The sequence below is a fragment of the Homo sapiens genome, chromosome 3 (genome assembly GCF_000001405.40).
Source record: "Homo sapiens chromosome 3, GRCh38.p14 Primary Assembly".
NCBI lineage: Eukaryota > Metazoa > Chordata > Mammalia > Primates > Hominidae > Homo > Homo sapiens.
The window spans coordinates 15,703,075-15,729,066 of record NC_000003.12 but is presented as its reverse complement, the minus strand read 5'-3'; the positions used below and the strand labels follow the sequence as shown (position 1 = coordinate 15,729,066).

General features: G+C 36.7%; 2 protein-coding genes across 37 annotated transcripts in view; one reads left to right on the top strand and one right to left on the bottom strand.

Annotated features, from left to right (window-relative positions):
- Positions 1-25,992, top strand: part of ANKRD28 (ankyrin repeat domain 28) — a 192,579-nt gene that overhangs the window by 130,748 nt on the left and 35,839 nt on the right. For 33 of the 34 annotated variants that reach the window (XR_007095653.1, NR_146112.2, XR_007095652.1 and 30 more), the window contains 8 exons: positions 4,543-4,685; positions 7,940-8,152; positions 14,411-14,489; positions 15,426-15,540; positions 16,845-16,927; positions 17,793-17,856; positions 19,331-19,399; positions 21,003-21,143. Coding sequence is in view for 30 of the 34 variants with exons in the window: in XM_047447807.1 (XP_047303763.1) it covers positions 4,543-4,685; positions 7,940-8,152; positions 14,411-14,489; positions 15,426-15,540; positions 16,845-16,927; positions 17,793-17,856; positions 19,331-19,399; positions 21,003-21,143 (907 nt within the window). In the remaining 4 variants the exon portion in view is untranslated. Of the gene's footprint in view, positions 1-4,542; positions 4,686-7,939; positions 8,153-14,410; positions 14,490-15,425; positions 15,541-16,818; positions 16,928-17,792; positions 17,857-19,330; positions 19,400-21,002; positions 21,144-25,992 lie in introns of all 34 variants that reach the window. The other variant, NR_146111.1, reaches the window with a different exon arrangement.
- The window catches only part of BTD (biotinidase), a 121,156-nt gene continuing 101,714 nt past the window's right edge, over positions 6,551-25,992 (bottom strand). For 2 of the 3 annotated variants that reach the window (NM_001370752.1, NM_001407379.1), the window contains exon 5: positions 6,551-7,297. In NM_001370752.1, the coding sequence (NP_001357681.1) occupies positions 7,218-7,297 (80 nt within the window). In that variant the 3' untranslated portion in view covers positions 6,551-7,217. Of the gene's footprint in view, positions 7,298-16,290; positions 18,669-25,992 lie in introns of those variants that run through there. The other variant, NM_001370753.1, reaches the window with a different exon arrangement.

The following is a 25,992-nucleotide window of genomic DNA, read 5'->3' as shown; positions in this document are numbered from 1 at the left end:
GGAAACTCTGCAGTCTGTTTCCCTTTCTGGCACAGTGACCAGCCACATTCAAGATGATGTCAGTTACATGAGCCTGGGTCCTTGAGTAACTGAGCAGAGCCCTCTTGCCAACCTGTTATGGTTGAGAGAGAAATAAAAACATTGATTGTTTAAGCCACTGAGATTTGGGAGTTGATTGTTAACCATCACACAGTATAACCAACCCTTTCCTCATGGTTACAATGGTGAGTAAACTAAGTTGGTTAAGATCTGGTGGAAATTATAAGGAAAAAGAGTTTTTTGGCTGCATGTTCTAAAGAGCTAACATTCTGAAGAAACAAGCCCAAGAAACCCCCAGATTGAAACGATTCCAGTAAGGCAGAGATCAGAGAGATTGTGAGTTTGGTGCTAAACTACCACAACAGAGTAAATACAGCAATAGGCAAATCACAAAGATTTTTTGGTTTCCCAGTGCATATAAAAGATATGTTTAGTCTCCCTGCAGTGGCTCACACCTGTAATCCTAACATCTTGGGAGCCCAACGTGTGAGGACTGCTTCAGGCCAGGAGTTCAAGATCAGCCTGGGCAACAGAGCAAGACCCTGTCTCTACAAAAAAATTTAAAGATTAGCCCAGTGTGGTGGCATGCATCTGTAGTCCTAGCTACTCAGAAGGCTGAGGTGGGAGGATCACCTGAATCTAGGAGTTTGAGGTTACAGTGAGATTGATCACACCACTGCATTTCAGCCAGGGTGACAGAGCAAGACCCCGTTTCTAAAAATAATTAATTAATTACAAAATATGTTTATGCTATACTATAGTCTATTAAGTGTGCAATAGCAATACATCTAAAACAATATACATGTCTTTGTTTTTTCTTTTTTATTAATTTTCAGTGTTCTTAATTAAAAAATATGTTATTGCTAAAAAAAAATGCTAACTATCGTATGAGCCTTTAGCAAGTCACAATCTCTGATAATGGAGAGTTTTGCCTCAATGTGAATGGTTGCTGAAGGTTTGGATGGCTGTGGCAATTCCTTGAAATGAGACAAAGATGTGCTGCATCGATGGACTCTTCCCTTCACAAAAGATTTCTCTGTAGCATGTGAAGCTGTTTGATAGCATTTTACCCACAGTAGAATTTCCTTCAAAATTGGAGTCATTTCTCTAAAAGCTTTGTTGTCATTTCAACAACATTCACAGCATCTTTGGGAGTAGATTCCATCTCACAAAACCACTGTCTTTACTCATCCATAAGAAGCAACCCCTCATCTGTTCACATTTTATCATGAGATTATAGCAATTCAGGCACATCTTCAGACTCCACTTCTTATTCTAGTTCTCTTGCTATTTCTACCACATCTGTAGTTATTTCCTTCGCTGAAGTCTTGAATCCCTCAGTCATCCATGAGGGTTGGAATCAACTTCTTCCAAACTCCTGTTAATAATAATACTTTGACCTCCTCCCATGAATCAGAAATGTTCTTTCTTTCTTTCTTTTTTTTTTTTTTTTTTTTTTTTTTGACAGAGTTTCGCTTTGTTGCCCAGGCTGGAGTGCAGTGGTGTGATCTTGGCTCACTGCAGCCTCTGCCTCCTGTGTTCAAGTGATTCTCCTGCCTCAGCCTCCCAAGTAGCTGGGATTACAGGCACCCGCCACCACACCTGGCTAATTTTTGTACTTTTAGTAGAGACAGGGTTTCACCATGTTGGCCAGGCTGGTCTCGAACTGCTGACCTCAGGTGATTGGCCTCCCAAAGTGCTGGGATTACAGGCGTGAGGCACCGCACCTGGCCAGGTATGTTCTTAATGGCATCTAGAATGATGAATCCTTTCCAGAAGGTTTTCAATTTACTTTGAGGAATCACTATTTATGGCAGCTATATCCACTTCAAATGTTATTTCTTAAATAATAAGACTTTGAAAGTTGAAATTACTCTTGATTCAGGGACAACAGAGTGACTATTGTGTTAGCAGGCACGAAAACAACAGTAATCTCCTTGTCTGTAAGAGCTCTTGGGTGGCCAAGTACATTGTGAATAAGCAGTAATATTTTGAAAGGAATCTTCTTTTTTCTGAGCAGTATGTCTCAACAGTGGGCTTAAAATATTCAGTAAACCGTGTTATAAACAGATGTGTTGTCATCCAGGCTTTGTTCCATTTTAGAGCATAGGCAAAGTGGATTTAGCATAATTCATGTGGGCTGTAGAATTTTCAGAATGGTAAATGAGCATTGACTTAAAGTCATTAGCTGCGTTAGCCTCTAACAAGAGAGTCAGCCTGTCCTTTGAAGTTTTGATGGCAAGCATAGATTTCTCTCTAGCAACGAAAGTCCTTGATGGCATCTTCCAATAGAAGGCCGTTTCATCTGCATTGAAAATCTGCTGTTTAATGTAGCCACCTTCATTAATAATCTTATATCTTTTAGATAACTTTTTACAGCTTCTATTAATACATCAGCACTTGCTGCTTCACATTGCACTTTTGTTACAGGGACATCTTTTTTCGTTAAACCTCATGAATCAACCTTTGCTGGATTAAACTTTTCCTCTATAGCTTCCTAACCTTTCTCAGCCTTCATAGAATTGAAGAAAGTTGAGGCCTTGCTCTCGATTAGGCTTTGGCATAAGCGAATTTTGTAGCTGTTTTGGTCGTCTATCCAGACCACTAGTACTTTCTCTGTATCATCAGTAAGGCCACTTATCTTTCTTATCATTAGTCCATTCACTGGTAGCACATTTAATTTTCTTGGAGAATTTTTCTTTTGCATTCACTACTTGGTAACTTTGTCACAGGAGGCCTAGCTTTCAGCCTGTCTCACGTTTCAACATGCCTTTCTCACTAAGCTTAGTCATTTCTAGCTTTTGATTTAAAGTGAGAGGTATGCAACTGTCTTTCACTTGAACACTTAGGGGCTGCTGTAGGGTTATTATTTGGCCTAATTTTAATACTGTTGTGTCTGAGTGAAGAGGAAGGTCTGAAGAGGAGATAGATGGGGGAATGGAGTAGTTGGAATATACAACATTTATTAAGTTAACCACTTTTTTGGAGACAGAGTTTCACTCTGTCATCCAGGCTGGAGTGCAGTGACATGATTTTGGCTCACTGCAACCTCCACTTCCAGGGATCAAGTGATTTTCGGGCCTCAGCCTCCCGAGTAGCTGGAACTACAGGTGTGTGCCAGCATGCCCAGCTAATTTTTGTATTTTTAGTGGAGACAGGGTTTCACTATTTTGGCCAGGCTGGTCTCGACTTCTGACCTCAGGTGATCTGCCTGCCTCAGCCTCACAAATTGTTGGGATTACAGGCATGAGCCACCGTGCCTGATCAGTTCACCACTTTATATGAGTGCAGTTTGTGATGCCCCAAAACAATTACAGTAGGAATGTCAAAGATCAGTGATCACAGATCACCAAAACAGATAAAATAACATTGAAAAAGTTTGAAATATTGGCAAGAATAACCAAAACATGACACAGACACATGAAATGAACACATGCTGATGGAAAAAATGATGCCAATAGACTTGCTTGACACCGGGTTGCCACAAACTTTCAATTTTTAAGAAACAAGATGCAATATTTGCAAAGCACAATAAAGCAAAGTACATACAATATGGTATGCCAGCATTAGAAATGAAAAGCTAACTTTAGAATTTATGAAGGTATTAAACTAACCTTAGACCAAAAACAAGATCTAGGCAAAAGGAAGATGATAGATTGCAGGGTTATCACTGAATAACATAATCAAAGGAATTATAGTTGTCCCTTGTTATCCTTAGGGTATTAGTTTCAGACTCCTTTGGATACCAAAATCAGAAGATACTCAAGTTCCTTATATAAAATGCCATAGTATGTACGTATAACCTGTTCTTTAATTCATCTCTAGATTACTTATAATACCTAATACAATGTAAATAGTTGTTGTACTGCATTTTTAATTTTTTTAACTGTTTTTATGTTTTCAAATATTTTCAGTCTGCAGTTGGTTGAATCTGCAGATATGGAACTAGTGTATACAGAGGGCCAACATTCTTTTTAATTACTAATTGTCTCTGCCAACACTTACCAAAATTATCCTGAATTCTATTTTTTTGTCTTGTTTTGTTTCGAGATAAGGCCTCGCTCCATTGCCCACCCTGGAGTGCAGTGGCATGATCACAGCTCACTGCAGCCTTAACCTCCCAGGCTCAAGTAATTCTTCTGTCTCAGCCTCCCAAGTAACTGAGACTACAGGTGCATGCCACCATACCCAGCTAATTTTTTTTTATTTTTGGTGGAGACAGGGTCTCACTGTGTTGCCTAGGCTGGTCTCAAATTCCTGGGCTCAAGTGATCCTCCCACTTCAGCCTCCCAAAGTGCTGAGATTATAGGCATGAGCCATTATGCCCACCCCTAAAGTCTTAAAATTTTCCTTCTGTCCTCTCTCAAGTTAACATGATTCATTGATGACTTGTCATGCATCATCTATTTTGCATTTTTTAAATTTGCTTAAAGATATTTGGGATTATATTTAATAGTTTTCATATGCTCATCTCTATTTTTTTCTTCAAAAACACATTTTTAGGTCACATTGAAGTAGTGAAATTGCTTGTGTCGCATGGAGCTGAAGTGACATGCAAGGATAAAAAGTCTTATACACCTCTTCATGCAGCAGCCTCTAGTGGAATGATCAGCGTAGTCAAGTACCTTCTAGATCTTGGAGTTGATGTAGGTATATTAATTGAACAGTATAAAATTATGGAACCCTTTTATACTTACTATTACATTATTGACAAGTTATTTCAGGTTTAAGAAATTATTTTATACAATGTTTTCATGTTTTAATTGGATATTTATAGTCCTTTACATAATATCTAGTGCACTGATTTATGATCAAGGCATGTAAATAGTCAAAGCATGTTAAGAGGTAAAATACACTTCAAAGGTGTTTTATTGCCAGTTTTTCTTCTATATCACGTTCCAGGCCCTGTAGTTCCATTTCATTTATGGGAATCAGCAGATCAGACACACTTGTATTATTAGATAGCTGGGTTATTGTTAGTCTTCTTTGCCTAGTCTCATACTCTCTTAAAATGACTGTAGCAGTTTGCATTACAGAATATTGGCAAGAGCTAGGCAGGAAAACAAGAGGTTTTTTGCCCACCAAGTGTAAGTATTCCTTACTATATAATTCTGTTTGGTTAAAAGGGGATGCTGCTTTATTTGGACATATTTGATTCCTGAATTGAGATAACTTAGAATACCTGTAGCTTTTCACAAGCCATCCTTTAAACATAAGTACTTTACTCCCTTGTTTATTTATTTATTTTATTATTATTTTTTTAAACAGGGTCTCTGTCTCCCAGGCTGTAGTATAGTGGCACAATCACAGCTCACTGCAACCTTGAACTCCTGGGCTCAAGTGATCCTGCCACCTAAGCCTCCTGAATAGCTAGAACTACAGGCTAATTTTTTTTATTTTGTAGAGATGAGGTCTTGCTGTTACCCAGGCTGGTGTCTAACTCTTGACCTCAAGTGACCCTCCTGCCTTGGTCTCCCAAAGTGCTGGAATTACAGGCATGAGCCACCACACCCAGCCCACTCAGCGTATTTATTCTTACTTCAGGGAGAGTTCTGACAAAGTCACTGATTCTTCAAAACACACATTTTGAAGAACTCATTGGTTCTTTAATAAAACAGTAAATTAGAAGATGTAGCATAAGGATCTGCTAGAGGGATACAGTTTAGATCAGCTACAAAAAACTAAGAAAAGTAGGTGATAGCCTGGTTGGACAAAGAATACATGACAGAACTGTAGGGCTAAATAGGCTCTTAACTGATGGACCATGTGAAACACTTTGCCTGAAGCAAGCTAATAAATACTGAAAGTGTGAGGATCACAAGAAGACGTTGCAAAAATCTCAATTCCTGTACCTCTGTTTCAGCAGAGTGAAATAATATCTTAAAAGACCCTTGATCTAGATAAATGAGGCAACTTTGTTTCTGATTACTGTTTGAAGTCCATTCTGGTGCAATTTTTAAAACTGACTTTATTGACAGTCAGTTACATTTGTAAACTCTGGTGACTATTTGTTCATCAAAATAAGTGGCCAGACTTAGAGCCTTTTAGTAACATCTGGCCCCCAATTGTGTGGTGTTTTTTTGTTTTTTGTTTTTTTTTTAGTTTCGTAGAGAATTACCACAAACTGGAGGGCTAATAGAAATTTAACTTCCCAGAGTTTTAGAGTATGGAAGTTCTAAATCAAGGGGTCAGCAAGGTTGGTTCCTTATGGAGGCTCTGAGGGAGAATCTGTTCCTTGTCTGTGTTCTACCTTCTTGTGAAAAAATCTAGGTTACTTTGATTAAAATTAAGTGTTAACTTTTTTTCTTCCTCTGATTTCTATTACCAGTGATCCCAGAAAAGAAAATGTTAATTAAAGCTGCATTATGTTGGGGCCAACTACAAGATTAGGGTCCAGAGTTTCCACACAAGGCCACCCTTTACTTATGACCAACTATAAGTTTAGAGGGCTTTCAAAACCACTTTCAGGTTTGATAATTCACCAGAAAGTCTCACAAAATTCATTAAAAGCTTTGTACTCATGGTTGTGGTTTATTACAGGGACAAGATACAAACTGAGATCAGCCAAAGGAAGAGACACATAGGATAGAGTGCAGGAGTATTCTAAAGGCAAAATTTCCCTTGTCCACTCTTCACGGAGTCAGGACACATTACTGTTCTTCCCTGGCATCAGTGTGTGACAGTATGAATGAAGTATTTCCAACAAGGAATGCTCACCTGAGCTTCATTTTCGGTTTTTATTGGGGCTCCATTATATGGCTTGATTGGTTGTCCATGTGGTTGATTTCAGTCTCCAAATACATGATACCTGGTGACCCAAAGCTCCCACTCTAAATAGAGACTCTTTTATCAGGAATATCTTAGATTACCTACCTCCCTGAAGCCAGGGGCAAAGGACAGACCTCTCTTTGGGAGAGGTCAGATTCTTTACTACACACTAATCATATAAACTATTCCCTTATTTATTAGAAATAGAAAAACAAGGCTGGGCACAGGGTCTCACGCCTGTAATCGCAGCACTTTGGGAGGCCGAGGCCGGTGGATCATTTGAGGTCAAGAGTTCAGGACCAGCCTGGCCAACATGGTGACACCCCGTCTCTACTAAAATACAAATATTAGCCAGTTGGTAGTGGTGTGTGCATGTAATCCCAGTTACTCAGGAGGCTGAGGCAGGAGAATCACTTGAGCCTAGGAGGCAGAGGTTTCGGTGAGCTGAGATCGTGCCACTCAACTCCAGTCTGGGCGACAGAATGAGACCCTGTCTCAAAAAAAAGAAAAGCAAAACCCTTAATTACATGAATTGTTTCTCATTTTTGAGCATACTCTTTTTACTTGTGATAAAATACCTGCATATGACACTGGAAGATATTTAGAGCCCAAGTTTGTGGCAAAAAATGAATTAAATAAATAGAACATGCCGTTCATTTTTTTTTAAATCTTGATCTGTACTTTATTACTAAGGTTAGCCTTTGTCACTGCAAAATGAAAAAGATGAAAATGTGCATGTTACTGAATATACCTCAGAATCTTCAGTTTGTGTTCATTTTTTATGATTATAATTAATTCTATAGTAAATCCTTTACCTAGAACGCCTTTAAAAATACATTAGTTTACGTTTCCCTGAAATACCTCTTTTGTATTATTCAGTTTTGTCATGAAGTAGACATTGTGTATGTGAATTATATTCCCTGAATGTATAAAATCAATGTAATACCAAAATGCTTGTCAAGGGTTTATTATTTTAAACCAACTTTAGAATTATAAGCCTTATCTCTGTACTTATCTTGTCTCCGTTTCTCACTTTAGTAATTTGATTGCAACCACAGGTTGCTAAAATAGCTCACAACATTGATAATTAGCAAAACTACTTTAACATTCGCATTTTTTTCCCTTCTAATAGATGAATGAACCAAATGCCTATGGAAATACACCTCTTCATGTAGCCTGCTATAATGGACAAGATGTTGTAGTGAATGAACTTATAGACTGTGGTGCTATTGTGAATCAAAAGAATGAAAAAGGATTTACTCCTTTGCACTTTGCTGCTGCATCAACACATGGAGCATTGTGTTTAGAGCTTCTAGTTGGCAATGGGGCCGATGTCAATATGAAGGTAAGGAACAAAATCAGAATCTATAAGTATTTCATATGTCACTGTTAAAACAACATCAATGGTGAATACCATTGAGCAATAAAAAGGAATATTGATAAACTCAAGAACATGGATAAATCTTTAAAATATTATGCTGAGTGAAAGCCTTACTCAAGAGTATGTACATTCTTTCCATTTATGTAAGGTTCTAGAACCAATAAAATTCCATTTATATGGGGTTCCAGAATCTATAATTGAAAAAAATCACAACAATTATTGCCATTGTGAGGAGGGATCAACTGGGAAAGGGGCATGAAGGGACGTTATGTGATGATGGTAATGTTTTGTATTTTGGCAGGGGTTTATGTTATATACATTTGTCAAAACTGATAAGGTGGTTCATTTGTATGCTTTCATAGCATATAAATTTTCTCTTAGAAGGAAAATACTAAACAGATGTTTAACCCTAGTTAATGTTGTGTTTAGAGGTGACATGTATGATGTCTGTATCTAATTTTAAAAAGCATCAAATAACTGGGTGGATGGAAGGATAGATGAATCTACAATAAAAGACATAGAGTAAAATACTAGTGGTACAATTTAGATGGTATGTATATGGATGTTCACTCTACAGATCTTTTCAAATTTTACAGTGTTAGGGAAAAAAAACTGTCAGTGTGTTGCACATAAGGAATAGTTGCTTTTTGGTTTTTTTTTGTTAGAATCACTTTCAAGAGTAAGCATTTGGATTTTAGAATTATGTGAAAATTCTGGGCTGGCATAGTGGCTCCTACCTGTAATCCCACCACTTTGGGAGGCCAGGGTAGGAGGATCACTTGAGCCTAGGAATTCAGGACTAGCCTGGACAGCATAACCTGGCTCCACAAAAAAATAGAAAATGAGCTTGGCATGGTGGCTCATGCTTGTAGTCCCAGCTACTTGGGAGGTTGAAGTGGGAGGATTTTTGAGCCTTGGAGGTCAAGGCTGCAGTGAGCTGAGATCATGCTACTGCCCTCCAGCCTGGGTGACAGAGTGAGACCCTGTCTCAAAAAATAAATAAAGGAATGAATGAAAATTTTGGCCGGATACAGTCTGGCTCACGCTTGTAATCCCAGTGCTTTAGGAGGCCAAGGCGAGAAGATCACTTGAGGCCAGGAGTTCAAGACCAGCCTGGGCAACATAGCAAGACCTCTATCTCTACCAAAAAAAAAATTAAAAATTATCCTGTAGTCCTAGGTACTCAGGAGGCTGAGGCTGGAGGATCACTTGAGCCCAGAAGTTCAAAGTTACAGTGAACTATGATCGCACCACTGTACTCTAGCCTGGGCGACAGGTGAGACCTTGCCTCAAATGAATGAATATTCTGTACCCAAATAAATATGCTTTCACTATATAATTTTATAAGAGAGCACATGCAATCCAGATTTTGAGCATTGCTATTTTATAATATATAATCATTTTATTAGATTTTTTAGAATTCGTTAGTTGTTTCTGTATTAATTTTATCAATTCATCCTTTGAGCACTTGCCAAACTGTATCTGGTGGTATGAAGAAAACCAGACACAAAATTGAGCCATTTAGGATTAGTAAAAATGTTTAAGCTTAAAATGTGATTTTCAGAGCATTTTGATTACATGAGATTTTCTCACCTAACTTCAGTGAAGCCTTTAATGATGCCACGGGTCAATTCTGACAGCTGTAACAGCAACAAATCCATCTGTAATTAGGCCATTGCTTTAAATTGCCCTCTCAACTACAGGACAAAATGTATACATACTACACCCAAGGAAGAAAAAACATGAGATGTCACAAAGTGCCCTAATATGATTAGAGCTAAACCATCTTTTTAAAAGTTTTTAGGTCTCGGTCAAATCACCTAGTAACATTTTTTATAGTTTAAGTAATTACTAGAAAGTTTATTTATTACAGGTTTGAACTGCTTATTTTAATTTGAAGAATTCCTGCACTTTGGATAATCAGGGCCCAGAAAAATATCTAGACAGTTGTGAGGAGAAAAGTTAGTTTTTTCCTCAAAGGCGCAGTAATGTTTCTTTAATGAAAGTTAGGCTATTTCAAAAATAAAAGATTTGGAATTAATCTTGACATTTTCAAAAGCAAACGTCACAACCAAGTTTTCTCAGTCTCTGTGAGACCTGTTTACGATAGTGAATGTGGATAAAATCATCTTTGTGTGTTAGTATTATGGAAATTACGGAACTTTACCTGTGTCGTCAGCTACTATGCATTTTTTGGTTCACATGATGCTGTCTTTAAAAGGTAGAGATTGGGCTTCCTGTTTTATGCACTGCCATTTTGGCATGAATATTTAATATAATTTGATGATAATGAATCACTTGATTCTGTTAGTGTCTACTTAGGTGACTATAGTACCTGTGATTGTTTTTAAGTCTGTATTTTCTTTTGAAATGTAGAATTGAGAATCAGTCCTCTAAGAGGCCCACTTAGAGTAAAATGCTCAAACCAGTGGTCCTATTTGAAGTTACCTCCTTAATAATTTAGAAAACTCAGTGGTGAATTTCATATATGACAAGTGAATTTTTTAGCAAAGGCATTAAGATATATTTAAGTAGATTTGACAGCAACAGCCTGTGATGTTGGTTTCAAAACAGATTTCACGAAAGTCATCTTAACTTCACCTAAGGGTGTATGACATCTCATTTATATGCAATTGTCCAATTATTTTATTGTCAAATTTTGTTGAAACACATTTCCCATGTTGATTTCTCAGATCCCTTCCAGCTCTTACACACAATATGTTGATAGCTGTGAGTTTTCATCCAGCAAGAATATATATTCATTCCTGACAACTGTATTTTTTATAATTTGTAAAATCGGTGTTATTAAGTTATTGATTGACTATGGGGACACTTTACACTTGCCCTTTATTATAAAAATTTGATTTACTAACCCTCATATTCTTACCATATTATCTCTTTTTTCCTGCTTAATCTTTTCCTCCTACTACATTCTCCATTTTGTTGTTTCTGACCTTGATCAAGTTATAGATGACTAGAAATTGGAATGTGAATTTAAGTTTGTAATAACTCAGTTTCTAAGGTTATAAATTCATTTTCCTGCAAAGTGGTAGAGGTAAAATGAATCAGGTTTATAAAGCAGTATAGGTCTGTTTTTTAGAACTGCTTGACATGAGCCTTACTGCACTGATTGCTTCATTTATATGCACACGTTTTCCCACCCACATTGTTCTTTAAGAATAGATTTTGGTCAGCTAAGCAAAATACACCAAATGCTTGTTTTGAAATTTAAACCTAAAAAAATACTGTGAAGTGTTTGGCTTGTAGTTACTGTTTTTGGTTGCCTGTGAGATCAACTGTTAGGATTTTTGTAGCTCTAAATTTTGGTTTTTGTTATTTTTCTTTTTTTTTTTCTTAATACTCCTAGTTTTCTGCTAAAGTGATTTGAGGTGATTAAGAAAAAGAAAACTCCACATTGTTTCTCCAGTTCAGAAAGAAATAACTGTGCCTTCTCCCCGCTAACGTGTCTTATGGCAAACTTTTTAGTTAGTAATCTGAATCTCTTTTTCCTTTGTATACTTAGAATAGGTTTTATTATCAGTATGTAGAAAGTAAAAATGTTGATCCAGTGCCACATATAGGCTTATAATAAAGGATTCTAACCAGGCCCAGTTGTGTGTGCCTTTAGTCCCAGCTACCTTCGGAAGGCTGAGGTGAGGGAATCACTTGAGCCAGGTGTTCAAGTCTAGTCTGAGCAATATAGCAAGACCTTGTCTCTAAAACAAAATAAATAAATAAATAAATAAAGGACTCATCACTTATTAGCTATGAGACCTAGTAAAATCACTTAACCCTGGGGCCTACATTTCCTCATCTATAAAACAAGATTAATGGTATCAATCTGATAGGGTTGTGAGAATTAAATAATATATATGAAGTAGATTTGGTTTTGGCTTTTTAGGAGGAAGGGAGATGGGGAGACAGAATCTCACTCTGTTGACCAGCCCAGAGTGCAGTGGCACCATCATAGCTCACTTCAGCCTCAAACTCCTGAGTTCAAGCAGTCCTTCCGCTTTGGCCTCCCCAAGCGCTGGAATTATAGATATGAGCCACCGTGCCTGACCATATGAAGTGTTTTAAAACTGTGCGTGAAACGTGCTATGTATACATAAATGTTAACTATAGTTATATCTTCCAAATTTCATCATTTTGTTAATCAAATTATTATTACAAGTTTTTATTTGTTTTGTTTTGAGTTGTGGGGGTTGTTTAGTTAGTTTTCCTCTTGTTTTTCTTATCCTTCTTATCAATGGAATCTATGTTTTTCCTTATGTCTGTAAAAATTGGCTATAGCTGGCCAGGCATGGTGGCTCACACCTGTAAACCCAGCACTTTGGGAAGCCAAGGCTGGAGAATCACATGAGCCCAAGAGTTCAAAACCAGCCTGGGCAACTTAGAGACCATCTCTACAAAAAATAAATTAGCCAGGTGTAATGTTACATGCCAGTAGTCCCAGCTACTCCAGAGGCTGTTGTTAGAAGATCACTTGAACCCTAGAGTTCAAGGTTGCAGTGAACTATGATTACACCACTGCATTCCAGCCTGGCTGACAGACCAAGACCCCCATCTCTTTAAGGGAAAAAAAAAAAAAAAAAAAGTCCAGGTGCGGTGGCTCATGCCTGTAATCCTAGCACTTTGGGAGGCCGAGGCGGGTGGATTACTTGAGGTCTTGAGTTCAAGACAAGCCTGGCCAACATGGTGAAACCCCATCTCTACTAAAATACAAAAATTAGCTGGGCATGGTGGTGCATGCCTGTAATCCCAGCTACTCAGGAGGCTGAGGCAGGAGAATCACTTGAACCCGGGAGGCGGAGGTTGCTGAGAGCTGAGATCACACCACTGTACTCCAGCCTGGGCAACAAAGCAAGTCTCAAAAAAAAAAAAGAGAGAAAAAAAAGGCCATAGCTAAAATATTAACATTAAAAATTAGGATATATCCTATCTGGAACATTTTGGAAAGACAGAATCCTTTTGCCAAGATGCTTTTTTGCCCTTTTTTTTTCTGGTTGAACAAATAACAACTGGTACATGAAAAATAATGGTAAAACAAATATATCCTGAGAAGCACTGATGTGTTATCTGAGTGTTTTACAAAGGATTATTGTATTTACTCTGTACAACAGACCAGTAAGATGTAGATGGTATTATCCTCATTTTCAGTTGAGGAACTGAAGGCACAAAGAAGTTAGGCAACTTGTCCAAAAATCTTGCTTGTGGTAAGTAGGAGATCTGAGATTCATGCTTAGGTTATTCTGACTCCAGAGCCTGTGCATGCATGCATCCTCTCTCCTCCTCCCCTTCCTTTCTCGTACTGCCTCCAAAAGATTAGAACTTCTGTAAAATTACTTGTCAATTGGATGGCTTGTTTACTTGAAAAATTCATATTATGGAATCAAACACTTAAGTAGATACTTATGATGTTCTAATTATTATTATAAAGACATGAGGATTTTTAAAGAATATCTGCGTTGTACAGTGTTAGCATAAACTTAGAATACTTGTGACATTTCCATTTTAGTACCTATGCAGAAGGCATGCTGAATGTTGCTGTGAGATTAGGAAGCTGCTAAGTAGTTTATTTCCTTTGCGTTGGTAACATGTATGTTTTGGTTAACTGAAAGATTTTAGAAAAGAAAAGACACTACCTAATCAGAAGAAAAGATAACCTAAATCAGGGATTGTTTTTCTTCATATTTGGAACTCCTTTAGAACTTCTACATGAAATATATATGTGTGCAGCCAGTCTGATTTATTATTTTAAGTGATTTGAGAAAATATTTAGTACACGTAACTATAAACAAATATATGTAGTTTTAATTATTTGTATTTATTTTTTTAAATGTATCCACACAAAATTCACGAAGTTAATTCTAATACTCACTTTTACTTGGTCAAGGAAGGATTCAGAATTTCTTAGAATGGAAATGTTGGAGCAGTGTGAAATTTTGAATCTGAAACTTGGGAGACACATCCTTACTGTCCCACTCCCAATTTTTATAAATTGTAAGCATGGAATTTTTGTATATTTGTGTTTTATGATACACGTGCTAAAAAAATTAATTCCTAATTTTAAACAGCTGTTTTACCTCCATAGGCCTCAGTTAAACTTAATTCATGTAAAATAGTTATAAAAATAAAGATGCAAGAGGGTATTCAAAGTAAAACTAAGGTTTACACATTATGGATATAGTAGAGTGAGTAATTTTTTTCTTCCCCCCCCAGAGTAAAGATGGGAAAACCCCACTACACATGACTGCTCTCCACGGTAGATTCTCCCGATCACAAACCATTATCCAGAGTGGTAAAAAGTATTTCTGTTTTTTTTTTGGGGTTTTTTTTTTTTTTTCTTAAATGTAGTAAAAACATCCACCAAATGAATGGTATTGAGGAATTGTCATCGCATTTTGTGTATTTTTAATACATGATTTCAGAGCTCATGAAAATAAAATATTAAAGAGTATAAAATACCACGTAGCTGTATCTTTCATACTTTTGTTTTTTATGTTTTGTTTCCCTGAACTGTGTTATTTCTTCAGCAGTTAGTATTAGCTTTTTTCAATATTGCTAAATAGAAAATTACTTTCTACCATAATTTGTATTATATATTAATGTGTGTACTCTGTATATACATTATACATGTATCATTTTCCCCTGTTGAGTATCTGCAACTATTTTCAGGATTTTAATTTCTTGAGTTTGTATTCTTTTGTGTTTAAATTAATATCAGGCAAGCTAAACTTTTAAATCAAAAGAACTTTTAGGTGTATTACTTTAAATCAGTGTTTTCCAAGGCATATTCCAAGAAATTTATCCTCAAGATAATAGGTGCTATGGTTTTGCAGGGGAAAAGTTGAAATAGGTTCATGATCCAATATTTTTTGAAGCATTGCATGCAGTCTTGATGACAGAGTATGCACATTAAAGCTCTGAAGTCTTGCTCTAAAGAAACGTGTTTAATTTTGTTTTAATACAGTAGTTTCCAAACTTATTGGACCCCAGAACCCTCTTGTCAATTTAAAAATCTACTAAAATCTTATGCTTAATTCACACAATTGCTTTAAGTATAAAAGCTATAAATCCATTGCCTGGCCCAATAAATGAGCTATGAATGAAATCTAGTTAAAATTGCTGTATCTATTAGTTTGTATGTGAACAGCATTTTTTATTACTTTTCATGTAGTACGTTTGACCTGATCTTTATATGGTCCAGTGTCTGACAGTAAGTCCTATATTGCAGGAGCTGTAATCGACTGTGAGGATAAGAATGGAAATACCCCTTTGCACATAGCAGCACGGTATGGCCATGAGCTGCTGATCAACACTCTTATTACAAGTGGTGCTGACACTGCAAAGTAAGTACTTACCGAGGTGTTGATAACTGATACAGGCAAGCACAAAGGGAAGTGAACTGCAGTTTTCTAGACATTTCACGTGGAAATGTGGATTTTATCCTCAATGTTGTATTAATTGCTTGAACTTTCTTTTGTATTGACAAAGTGGTAGGTTAAAATGTTTAAATACAATTTTATTTGGTAAGCCAGTGTATTTTTATGTATGTTACCCCAGTTCTTTCTCACTTTGAGTAATAACGCAGTTTTGATCAGAGCTGTTAATTTTTGTGATCTCTTTATTTTTAACCTAGAAGTACTTAAAAGTCCCAGAAAGCTGTATGTGCCAGATGCTTTTTTTTAATCCAAATACTATCTGTAGATAATACTTTTCAGGCTGTGCTGTGCCAAGCTCAGGGATTCCTTGGAATCCTACGAAGGAGTTCTTACCCCCACCCCCATTTTGGTCAGAACAGTTTGCTTGTATTTATTTTATAAATTAAAGTTCCCATTGTAATATTTTGTTTGAAAGATGAGTCCTCCTGCTAATGCTCTGCAAGAAACACCATACTTAAATTTATGTTTATCATTCTTTGTATCACATTTACATGTGTTCATTAACAAGTTTTAAATCTTTTTTACTTTCTGTAATGGTATGGTACTGCACCTATCTGTTTTGTAACTTTTTCCAAAAAAATTACATGAGCTTATTAATTTAGCCATCTAGATAGAAATTTAGGCCTTCTTTCACATCTGTACAAGTTGCTCTAGTTCATTTATTTTATAGAATTATTGTATAAAGATTTCACAATATATTCATTCTCCTTATTTGCAAATACAAGTTGCTTACAGTTTTTCACTATTACAGAATTACTACAATAAATATTCTTGAACATGTTGCATTATGGAAATGTTTCAATGGTGGGGTGACAGGGTAGTGAATTTTGCTCCCTAAGCAAATGTCCAGATACATTTTTGGTTGTCACAATTTGGGGAGGAAGGTGTTAATGTTAATGACATCCATTGGGTAGAGCCCAGGGATGCTGCTGAACAGCCTGTAAGCCTGTATGCACAGAATGGCTTCTCACGTTTCCCCAGCAAAGTCCATAATGACAGTAGTGCTGAAGGTGAGAAACCTGACTTTTGGAGAAAAATAGCTGGCTAATAAGTTATGCCCACCATCAAACTTTAACCAAATTACTCTCCGAAGTGTTAGACATTTTGGCTCTTAGTTATCTTTCACTTAAGTGGTCTCTTTGTAATGTATTTAACTGATTGTATTTTTCTTGTGTTAAAATGAAGATACTGTCCTGTTCTATTAACTTTAGGCGTGGCATACATGGAATGTTCCCCCTCCATTTGGCAGCCTTAAGCGGCTTTTCAGATTGCTGCAGAAAACTTCTTTCTTCAGGTAAGTGTAACCTTTGCAGCCTTTTGTATGTCTCCTCAAACCCCTCAAAATTTTTAGATGGTCTCTATCCTGCTTTTTAAAAATTAATGCAGATGGGTCCAGTATGGATAATTTAATAACCCCTTTTAGAACGTGTTGGGTTCAGGTCTGGCGTGGTGGCTCATGCCTGTAATCCCAGCACTTTGGGAGGCCGAGACAGGCAGATCACTTGAGGTCAGGAGTTCAAGACCAGCATGGCCAACATGGTGAAAGCCCATCTCTACTAAAAAAAAAATACAAAAAAAAATTAGCTGGGCGTGGTGGTGAGCACCTGTAATCCCAGCTACTTGGGAGGCTGAGGCAGGAGAATCGCTTGAACCCAGGAGGCAGAGGTTGCAGTAAGCCGAGATTGTGCCACTGCACACTAGCCTAGGAGACAGAGCGAGACTCTGTCTCAAAAAAAAAAAATACAGAAAACCTCTTCATCCCCTGTTAAAGAAAGACCATTAGCAGTTAATCTCCATTTCTTTCTTCCCTCAGCCCTAGGCAACCACTAATCTACTTTTCATCTCTATAAAATTTGCCTGTTCTGAACAGTTCCTATAAATGGACTCACCCAACATGTGATCTTCTGTGACTGGCTTGTTTCACTTAATATAATGTTCTCAAGGGTTATTCATGGAACAGTATCAGTACTTTATTTCTTTTTATTGCTAAATAATACTCCATTGTATCCTATTGCCTTTTAAACAGGCACTCTAGCACTTAAGAACCCATAGTTTTGTTTGGGATTGGAGGGGAGGATGTGATTCTTGATGTTTCATGACACAATTCTTTAGTGTAAAATAATATGTCTGTTATAAATAAGATGTATTCATTCTTGTAGGATTTGATATAGATACCCCAGATGATTTTGGCAGGACTTGTCTACATGCAGCTGCAGCTGGAGGGTATGTTAATAGTATTTTTATTTCTTTAAGAAAAGATAGCTGGTCATGGCAGGTTTTCTCTTATCTTTGTTCTTTTTTATTAATTCTGGGCTGCCAGAAAATAGAAAACAAAACAGGAGTTGTTTGGGAAAAAAAAGTCCAGGGTGGCAGAATACTTTTTTTCATCTTATTCCAGCCAAGTTGTAGGTTATGAGTGAGAGAGAGAGAGAGAATAAACCTACAAAAGGAAATACTGCCTTCTGTAAAAGAACATAATTTCTGGATAAGTAAAACTATTTCTTTAAAAAGTATGTTCTCAAATGAGAACATCAAAATACTGGGAATATTCTGAATAATACAAGTACTCTTTAAGTAGATTTGTTAATTTTTTTTTCCCCCAGGAAAAAAATGTTCATTTTGTGCTGTGTCTTACCTCTACTAGGAAGAGGAAAGTTTGAGATTGGAAGATTTTGGACTAAGTTTTAAATAGTACCACCAGGGAAAAATTAGGCAGTTGGTTCATACGAGCAACAAACTTCAGCTAAAACTCATGGCCTCTGGAACATGCTTCTTATCTAATGCTTCTGATAATTTAGATCTGTGATAAGCCATTTAATTCATGATTTCTCAAAAGGACATTTTGCAAAAACGTTATTCTCAATGATAATTTCTTAAAAATTTTCAGTGATTTCAGAGGACGAGTACGTTGAACCAAGAGTACACCAGCACAGTCTAAGTTGTAGAGATGGATTGTGAGCATGTGACTGGTTTTCTTGTTCTTCCAAGGTCGCCAGAGAACCTTCCAGTTAAAACCTAACTTCCACGTAACTTGCCTACAGAGAGAGGGACAACAGACTTGAGTGTCTGATCACTTGACAGTTACAGTTTTCATTGTAACATAGTAATTTGATGTTGAGGTTTATACAGTTAAATTACAGAAATACTTAAGTTATATCCTTTCCTCCAGTATTAACTAAAGATACATATATGTAAACAGTCATAGTATAGGAGAAGATAAGGGAAAGCTGACAGGACTCATGCAGTGGCTCACAGCTGTAAGCTTAACTACTCAGGAGGCTGAGACTTGGAGGATCGCTTATATCCAGGAGTTGGAGGCTGCCGTTAGCTATGGTTGCATCACTGGACTCTAGCCTAAACTATAGAGTGAGGCTCTGTTTCAAGAAAAAAAAAAAAACCTATAAGCAAGTTGTTTCCTAAAGCCTCCTCAGAATCTCTTTTGCAAATGTGATCTTCCTTTTAAACAATGACAACATGAATCGTGTGTTATTTCCTCAGTGTGCCAATATGTAAGTATATAACTTTCTAAATTCTAGATAAGATGAATTTCAATGTTTTATTCTTCATAGAATGTAAATCATCATTTTTGTCACATTTATCTTCATATAAAAACATGCTTTCATGCTTCTTTAAACCTACCAATTTCATTATAAAATCACTGTCAATTAAGTTTTCTAACTGTATTTTCTCTCAATAGGAATTTGGAGTGCCTAAACCTTCTGCTGAATACTGGTGCAGACTTTAATAAAAAGGACAAATTTGGGAGGTAGGGTATGATACAGTTTCTTTATGGAGCCTATTTTTACTTAATAACTTGATTGACCTTCTAACTGGCTTCTGAAAATTAACTGAACAATTTAGCATCTTGTACACTGATCATGATTCATTGAGAGTCCCAGCTGAAGTCAGTAACTTCCAAATATTCGTTCTCACCCACAGTTTTCTTCTTGAGTCCCTACCACAGCCCTAGCCTACCAACCACAGCCTTGGCCTTATAAATGCCTCTATACTTGCTATCACTTCCCCCCCTCCAAAAATTATGACTATGGAAATGTAAAGCCCCATAGAACCTATGTTTTTTCAAGAAACTCACAATACCTAGAAAATAATGATACAGTTCTCCTTTCTCCAAGTCATTTCTTGGTGAGGGATTCTACTGCCCATATCTTGTTCCAGAGCAGTAGTAAGAGGGAGGAAATAGGTTATAAATATATATGTGTAATTTTTCTTTCTCCTCTTCTATATAAATCTCTCACACACATATATCCACACATCCCACTAAGTATTTCACAACAGGAAGGCAGCTGTGAAATGACAGTCTTTGTAGTCATTCAGCAGGCCTCATTGTTGAGTATTTGTGGTAGCAGTATTTAAAACTACTGTTAAGTTACTTAGAGTAGGAATTGACACAGAGTGCATTAGAACCATACAGGAAAGAATTGAAGGCAGTTGGAATTGGTTTGAAAGAGATGACAGTATAAGCAAAACTGTGTGTGTCAACAGTTTGAGAATTATACATAGCAAAGTGTATGAGAAGGAAGGGTGTATGTCAGAAGAAAATGTGTGAATATATGTCAATGCATGTGATAGAACCAGTGCAGAAGAGAAGTAAAAAGAATTATGCATGGTAGGAAATCAGAAATGAATAGAAGAAAATAAAAACTATTTGACACCATAATTACTTTGAAGAACAGATTGCTCTCATAAGCCTACTTAATGGAAAGAACTAATGACCCACAAAAATAAAAAAATCACTTTGGCTTTGGAATGCAATATTTTTATAGCTAATTTGCTTTTATAATTATACTTTAATCCAGTTTATATTAATTTTTAGTACTTCAGGCATTCTATACTACAAATAACAGAGAGGGCTTCTGAAAAATGCTTTGAGTTGAGAGGGTTGAAAGTAATTCAGGGTTAATTACATTTTTTTTAATGTTTCTTCTATTTTTTTCTCTTACCTTTTGTTCTTCTTCTGAGACATGAATAGAAATTGCTACCTCTGTACTGTGGAACATTTTTATTAATGTAGGGGAAACTTTCCTAAAATGAAAGTTTTCACATTTCTGAGCAGAATATGAAGGTTATTTGAAAGTCACTCAAAGGACTGGGACTGGGATTGCTGCTACTGCCTGGAGGCGATGAAATAACTGCATTTTCATCTTATTTCATATACTTAAAGGTTCTCTGCCACCTTGCTTTCTTCTTCTAGCTTTATGTCCAGTCCTCCGCAAGACTTAGTATATGGTAGTCTAAGTCTCACTGTAAATAAAGTATTTGTAACTGGGAGGAGTAAGAGTCAACTATGCTTTTGTTTACTAGTTATGTCTCTGGCTTTTATCTTTCTTGTATTAACTTGGACCCAAAAGATCTCCACTGCACTACGCTGCTGCCAACTGCAATTACCAGTGCCTGTTTGCTCTTGTGGGATCAGGAGCAAGTGTGAATGACCTTGATGAAAGAGGCTGCACACCCCTGCACTATGCAGCTACATCAGACACAGATGGCAAGTAAGTACCATAGGAGTGAGAGTGGAGGATCAATATTTCTATAAACTGGCATCTTCCATATGGATGTTTTTGTTGCAAATTTGTGTTTCCTCTTTGTATTTTTTGTTGATTATCTTTGCCCTAAGTCTATTTTGGGAAATAGATTGGTTTCATAGTTATTGATAAATCATAGTTATTACTACCTATTCTCAGCACCAGCCTTACTAGCTGATCTGGTGGAAGAAAGATAAAGGTCCCTTCTTGTCCTATCTGCCAAAAGAGCATCTTAATATCACTTTTATGTTTTTTTCCACCTGACTTCTTAGAGGCTACAGCCGTGACTATATCATGGGGAAAGGGAGAGAGGAGATATATGAGTAATGTCATCAGAAGATTGGGTAGAGGTTGGAATACAAGTATCCTTCAGAGGTAGACAGTTCAGATTTGCAAGGAACCCTTGTAAATTGGTGTCCAAAAGGTAGTAATTGAACTGGCAGAATCTGGTACGTAGTAGGTACTACATGTTGCTTAAATAGGTAAATTAGATGGCAGAATAAGTAAATGTTGGCCAAGAATGAATAAGTGAAAACAAGAATAAATGATGCATAAACTGTTTCATAAGTATAATAATATTCACCTAAAGTTATCAGACCTATCTGTAATACCTTGATACATATTTTTTTTTTCTTCTTGCACGAAAATAAACTCATTGAAAACAGAAAAGATTTTCAGTGTCTGGTAATTCCCTATGGTGTGGGTCAGTGAAAAGTAAAAATACCATTGGCAGAAATAAGTAATGGTTTCTGGGGAAAGATGTTATAAAATGTACTTCATATAACAGAATTATTTATTCGGTTTTTAACATTTACTTTTCGCCCTCAAAATAAGAAGCATAATTTGATTCTTCACAAATGTTAATTTAGTATAAACTCTTTAATTTCAAAACCATTTTTATAAGTAACTTTTTTTATGTTGGATTGTGGCTAAAATTCTAGGGGTTTTTCAAACAACCCCATCAAAAATTGGGTGAAGGATATGAACAGACACTTCTCTAAAGAAGACATTTATGCAGCCAACAGACACATGAAAAAATGCTCATCATCACTGGTCATCAGAGAAATGCAAATAAAAACCACAGTGAGATACCATCTCACACCAGTTAGAATGGCAATCATTAAAAAGTCAGGAAACAACAGGTGCTGGAGAGGATGTGGAGAAATAGGAACACTTTTATACTGTTGGTGGGACTATAAACTAGTTCAACCATTGTGGAAGACAGTGTGGCGATTCATCAAGGATCTAGAACTAGAAATACCATTTGACCCAGCCATCCCATTACTGGGTATATACCCAAAGGATTATAAATCATGCTGCTATAAAGACACATGCACACGTATGTTTATTGTGACACTATTCACAATAGCAAAGACTTGGAACCACCCCAAATGTCCATCAATGATAGACTGGATTAAGAAAATGTGGCACATATACATCATGGAATACTATGCAGCCATAAAAAAGGAGGAGTTTATGTCCTTTGTAGGAACATGGATGAAGCTGGAAACATCATTCTGAGCAAACTATCGCAAGGACAAAAAACCAAACACCACATGTTCTCACTCATAGGTGAGAATTGAACAATAAGAACACTTGGACACAGGAAGGGGAACATCACACACCGGGGCCTGTCATGGGGTGGGGAGGAGGGGGAGGGATAGCATTAGGAGGTATACCTAATGTAAGTGACGAGTTAATGGGTGCAGCACACCAACGTGGCACATGTATACATATGTGCCAAACCTGCATATTGTGCACAGGTACTCTAGAACAAAGTATAACAATAAAAAAAAGATTTCAGAATCACACACACACAAAAAAAAAATTCTAGGGGTTTTTTGTTTGTTTTTGTGGGTTTTTTTGTTGTTTGTTGTTTTGTTTCGTTTTGAGATGGAATCTTGCTTTGTCGCCCAGGGTGGAGTGCAGTGCTGCAGTCTCAGTTTACTGCAGCTTCCACCTCCCAGGTTCACAAGCAATTCTCCTGCCTCAGCCTCCTGAGTAGCTGGGACTACAGGTGCCTGCCACCATGCCTGGCTAATTTTTGTAATTTTAGTAGAGACAGATTCACCATGTTGGCCAGGCTGGTCTCAAACTCCTGACCTAAGTGATCCGCCCACCTTGGCCTTCCAAAATGCTGGGATTACAGGAGTGAGCCACTGCGCCCAGCCTAAAATTCTAATCTTAAAGGCAATAGTAATGTGTATTTTATTTGCAAGAATATAAAGTATGTTTTTAGATAGCAACTATTTAAATAAAATCTGTGATAAAGACTATAAATCAGAAAATATTTTGGTAAACTTGGATAAGTAGCTTATCCCTAATTTATCAGTTTTATAATTTCATGGTTTGATTTATTGATTTGCTTAAAATAAGTTATACCTTTTATCACCATCTGTAGTCCTTTACCACTACTTTCACAGACTGGTTATTGGGTACAGCTCAGCATGATCCAGATTCCGCTGAGAGATTGTCTCCCACATTCCTTCCCCCAAAAAAAGATTACACTTTGATCCTTCTGCCCTTAGACAAATGCACTAAACCTGAATTCACACACACACAAAACCACAAAGGAATAACATATAATTCAACCCATAGTGTTGGAGATGTGTGGTTTCATTGTAAGCCAATCTACTTTTCCTATAGAAGGGTACTAGTACTAAAATCACTAGTTTTCTTACTGAATATAAACGGTTTTGAGCAAGTAAGCAATGACTTTTATTATTTAAATATTTAATCCTCAGTATGTACACTAAACAGCCTGATACACTGGAAAGTATCAGGCTTGATACTTGGGATCCGAAAGACCCAATTTAAATCTTGGAGTTTCCATACTGTACCCATTTGAGTATGAGCAAGTAATTGCTAAGCCAAAATATTCTTTATTTGTAAAAGGAAAATGAAACCTCCCTGTTAGAGTTGCTGGGAAAACTAAATGAGACTGTGCATAATCTAGCACTGTTAATGGGAGCCTCTGTTTCCTATCTTTATTAAGTATCAAAATCCCAGAGAGCCTGTCGAGTGCCATCATTTATTGATTCAATGATTTGTTCCATGGGAGCCTAGTGGAAAATATAAGCCACAGTAATTATTCTGGGATACCAGAGGCATCCTTTTAATAAGTGATTGTTTTGGAGGCTTAAACAGTGGCATTAAAGGATTTATTTTTCTTAAATTGTAAAAAATATTTTTCTTAAATTGGGTACAATTGTACCCAATTGTAATTGTATTCCCAGGAATAGCTTGAGTAATAAGAGAATCAGGCATAACTCATTCTGCCAAAGCAACAATGAAATATTTTCTAAAAGAAGAGACAAATTCCTCAGAGCTTCCAATTGCTATTATTCAGTAATGTACATTTGCTTATTTGTTTTTTAAATGGTTTTTTAAAAATCCCCTGTCAGCATCACAGTTTCTACCTTTAAAGCTCCCCAGGAAAAGTTGTTGTTTATACTTTGGAATTTTTAACAATCTGACATTGGTTTTCTTTTGTTTAGGACCAACATACAGTAATTATAATTCTGCTCTGCCTTTTATCCCTTCATCCTCACTTTGAGTAAATAATTGGAAAAATACATGAAATCTTCCGTGACTCATTCTAGTCATTCTGCTTGTTACCCCCATTGTCCTGATGCCTGCGTTCTTGGTAGACAGTCATTCAGCAAGTCCTCTGAAGTGTCTTTATTTTACATCATGTAAGAATCCAGCAAACAAATATATGGCTGCTATCGCAATGAACATATTAAATATGTGAAATATTAATAAATAAAATTATATTTGCCTGTTGCAGATACGTATAGGGCTGTCTTTGAGCAGGATGTCATGTGGGTCTTCTCCACACCTGTGTGTAGTATGTATATAAGAGAAGGAAAGGTTGAGGGCTGTTTTTCCTGATTATAAGGAAGAAATTCCCCTCATACCAGCTCTCCTGAGATAACCATCATCAACAGTTATATTGCTCTGTGTGTATGTAGATTATTTTATGTCCCTCACAGCCTTAATCAAAGTTGAAGTCCTGGTATATGTTATAAAGCCTTTTCTATATCATATATAATTTTTTAAAATATTTTATGGGTTGTTATCTCTAGCCCGCACTTCATAACTCTTCCGTCCTCTATCCATTACCCAGTTCCAAAACCTCTTCCACATTTTAGATATTTGTTTCAGCAACATCGTAACTTCGCAATAACAATTCTCTTAGTCTGTTTGGACTGGTATAACAAAATACCAAAAACTGGGTGGCTTATAAACAACAGAAATCTTATTTCTCACAGTTCTGGAAGCTGAGAAGTCAAGAATATCAAGGCACCAGCACATTCAGTGTCTGGAGAAGGCCCACTTCCTCTTTGAGGGCATATTCTTGCCATATCCTCACATGGTAGAAGGAATGAGAGCTCTTTTGGGCCTTATTTATAAGGACACTAATCCCATTCATGAGGGAGGGCTCTGCCCTCTTGACCTAATCACCTCCTAAAGGCCCCACCTCCTAATAACATCACCTTGAGGTTGGAATTTCACCATGTGAATGGGTGTGGGGGGACATAAACATTTAGACCATAGCAACACTCTTAGGAAATGAGGCTACATTTTGACTTCTAATGGCAGTTTATTTTTGTCTGTTTTCAAACTTCATAAAAATGGGATCATGCAGTTTTTTGTGTGTAGAGGTTTTGTAATGCTGAGATTTATTCCTATGTATCTGATATTTTTTATTACCAAAATCAATCTTTAAATTTTTTTGTGTTGGTATATAGAAGATATATTTGCCTTTTGTATGTGACTTACATTCAACAACCTTGTTAAGCTTATTGTGTAT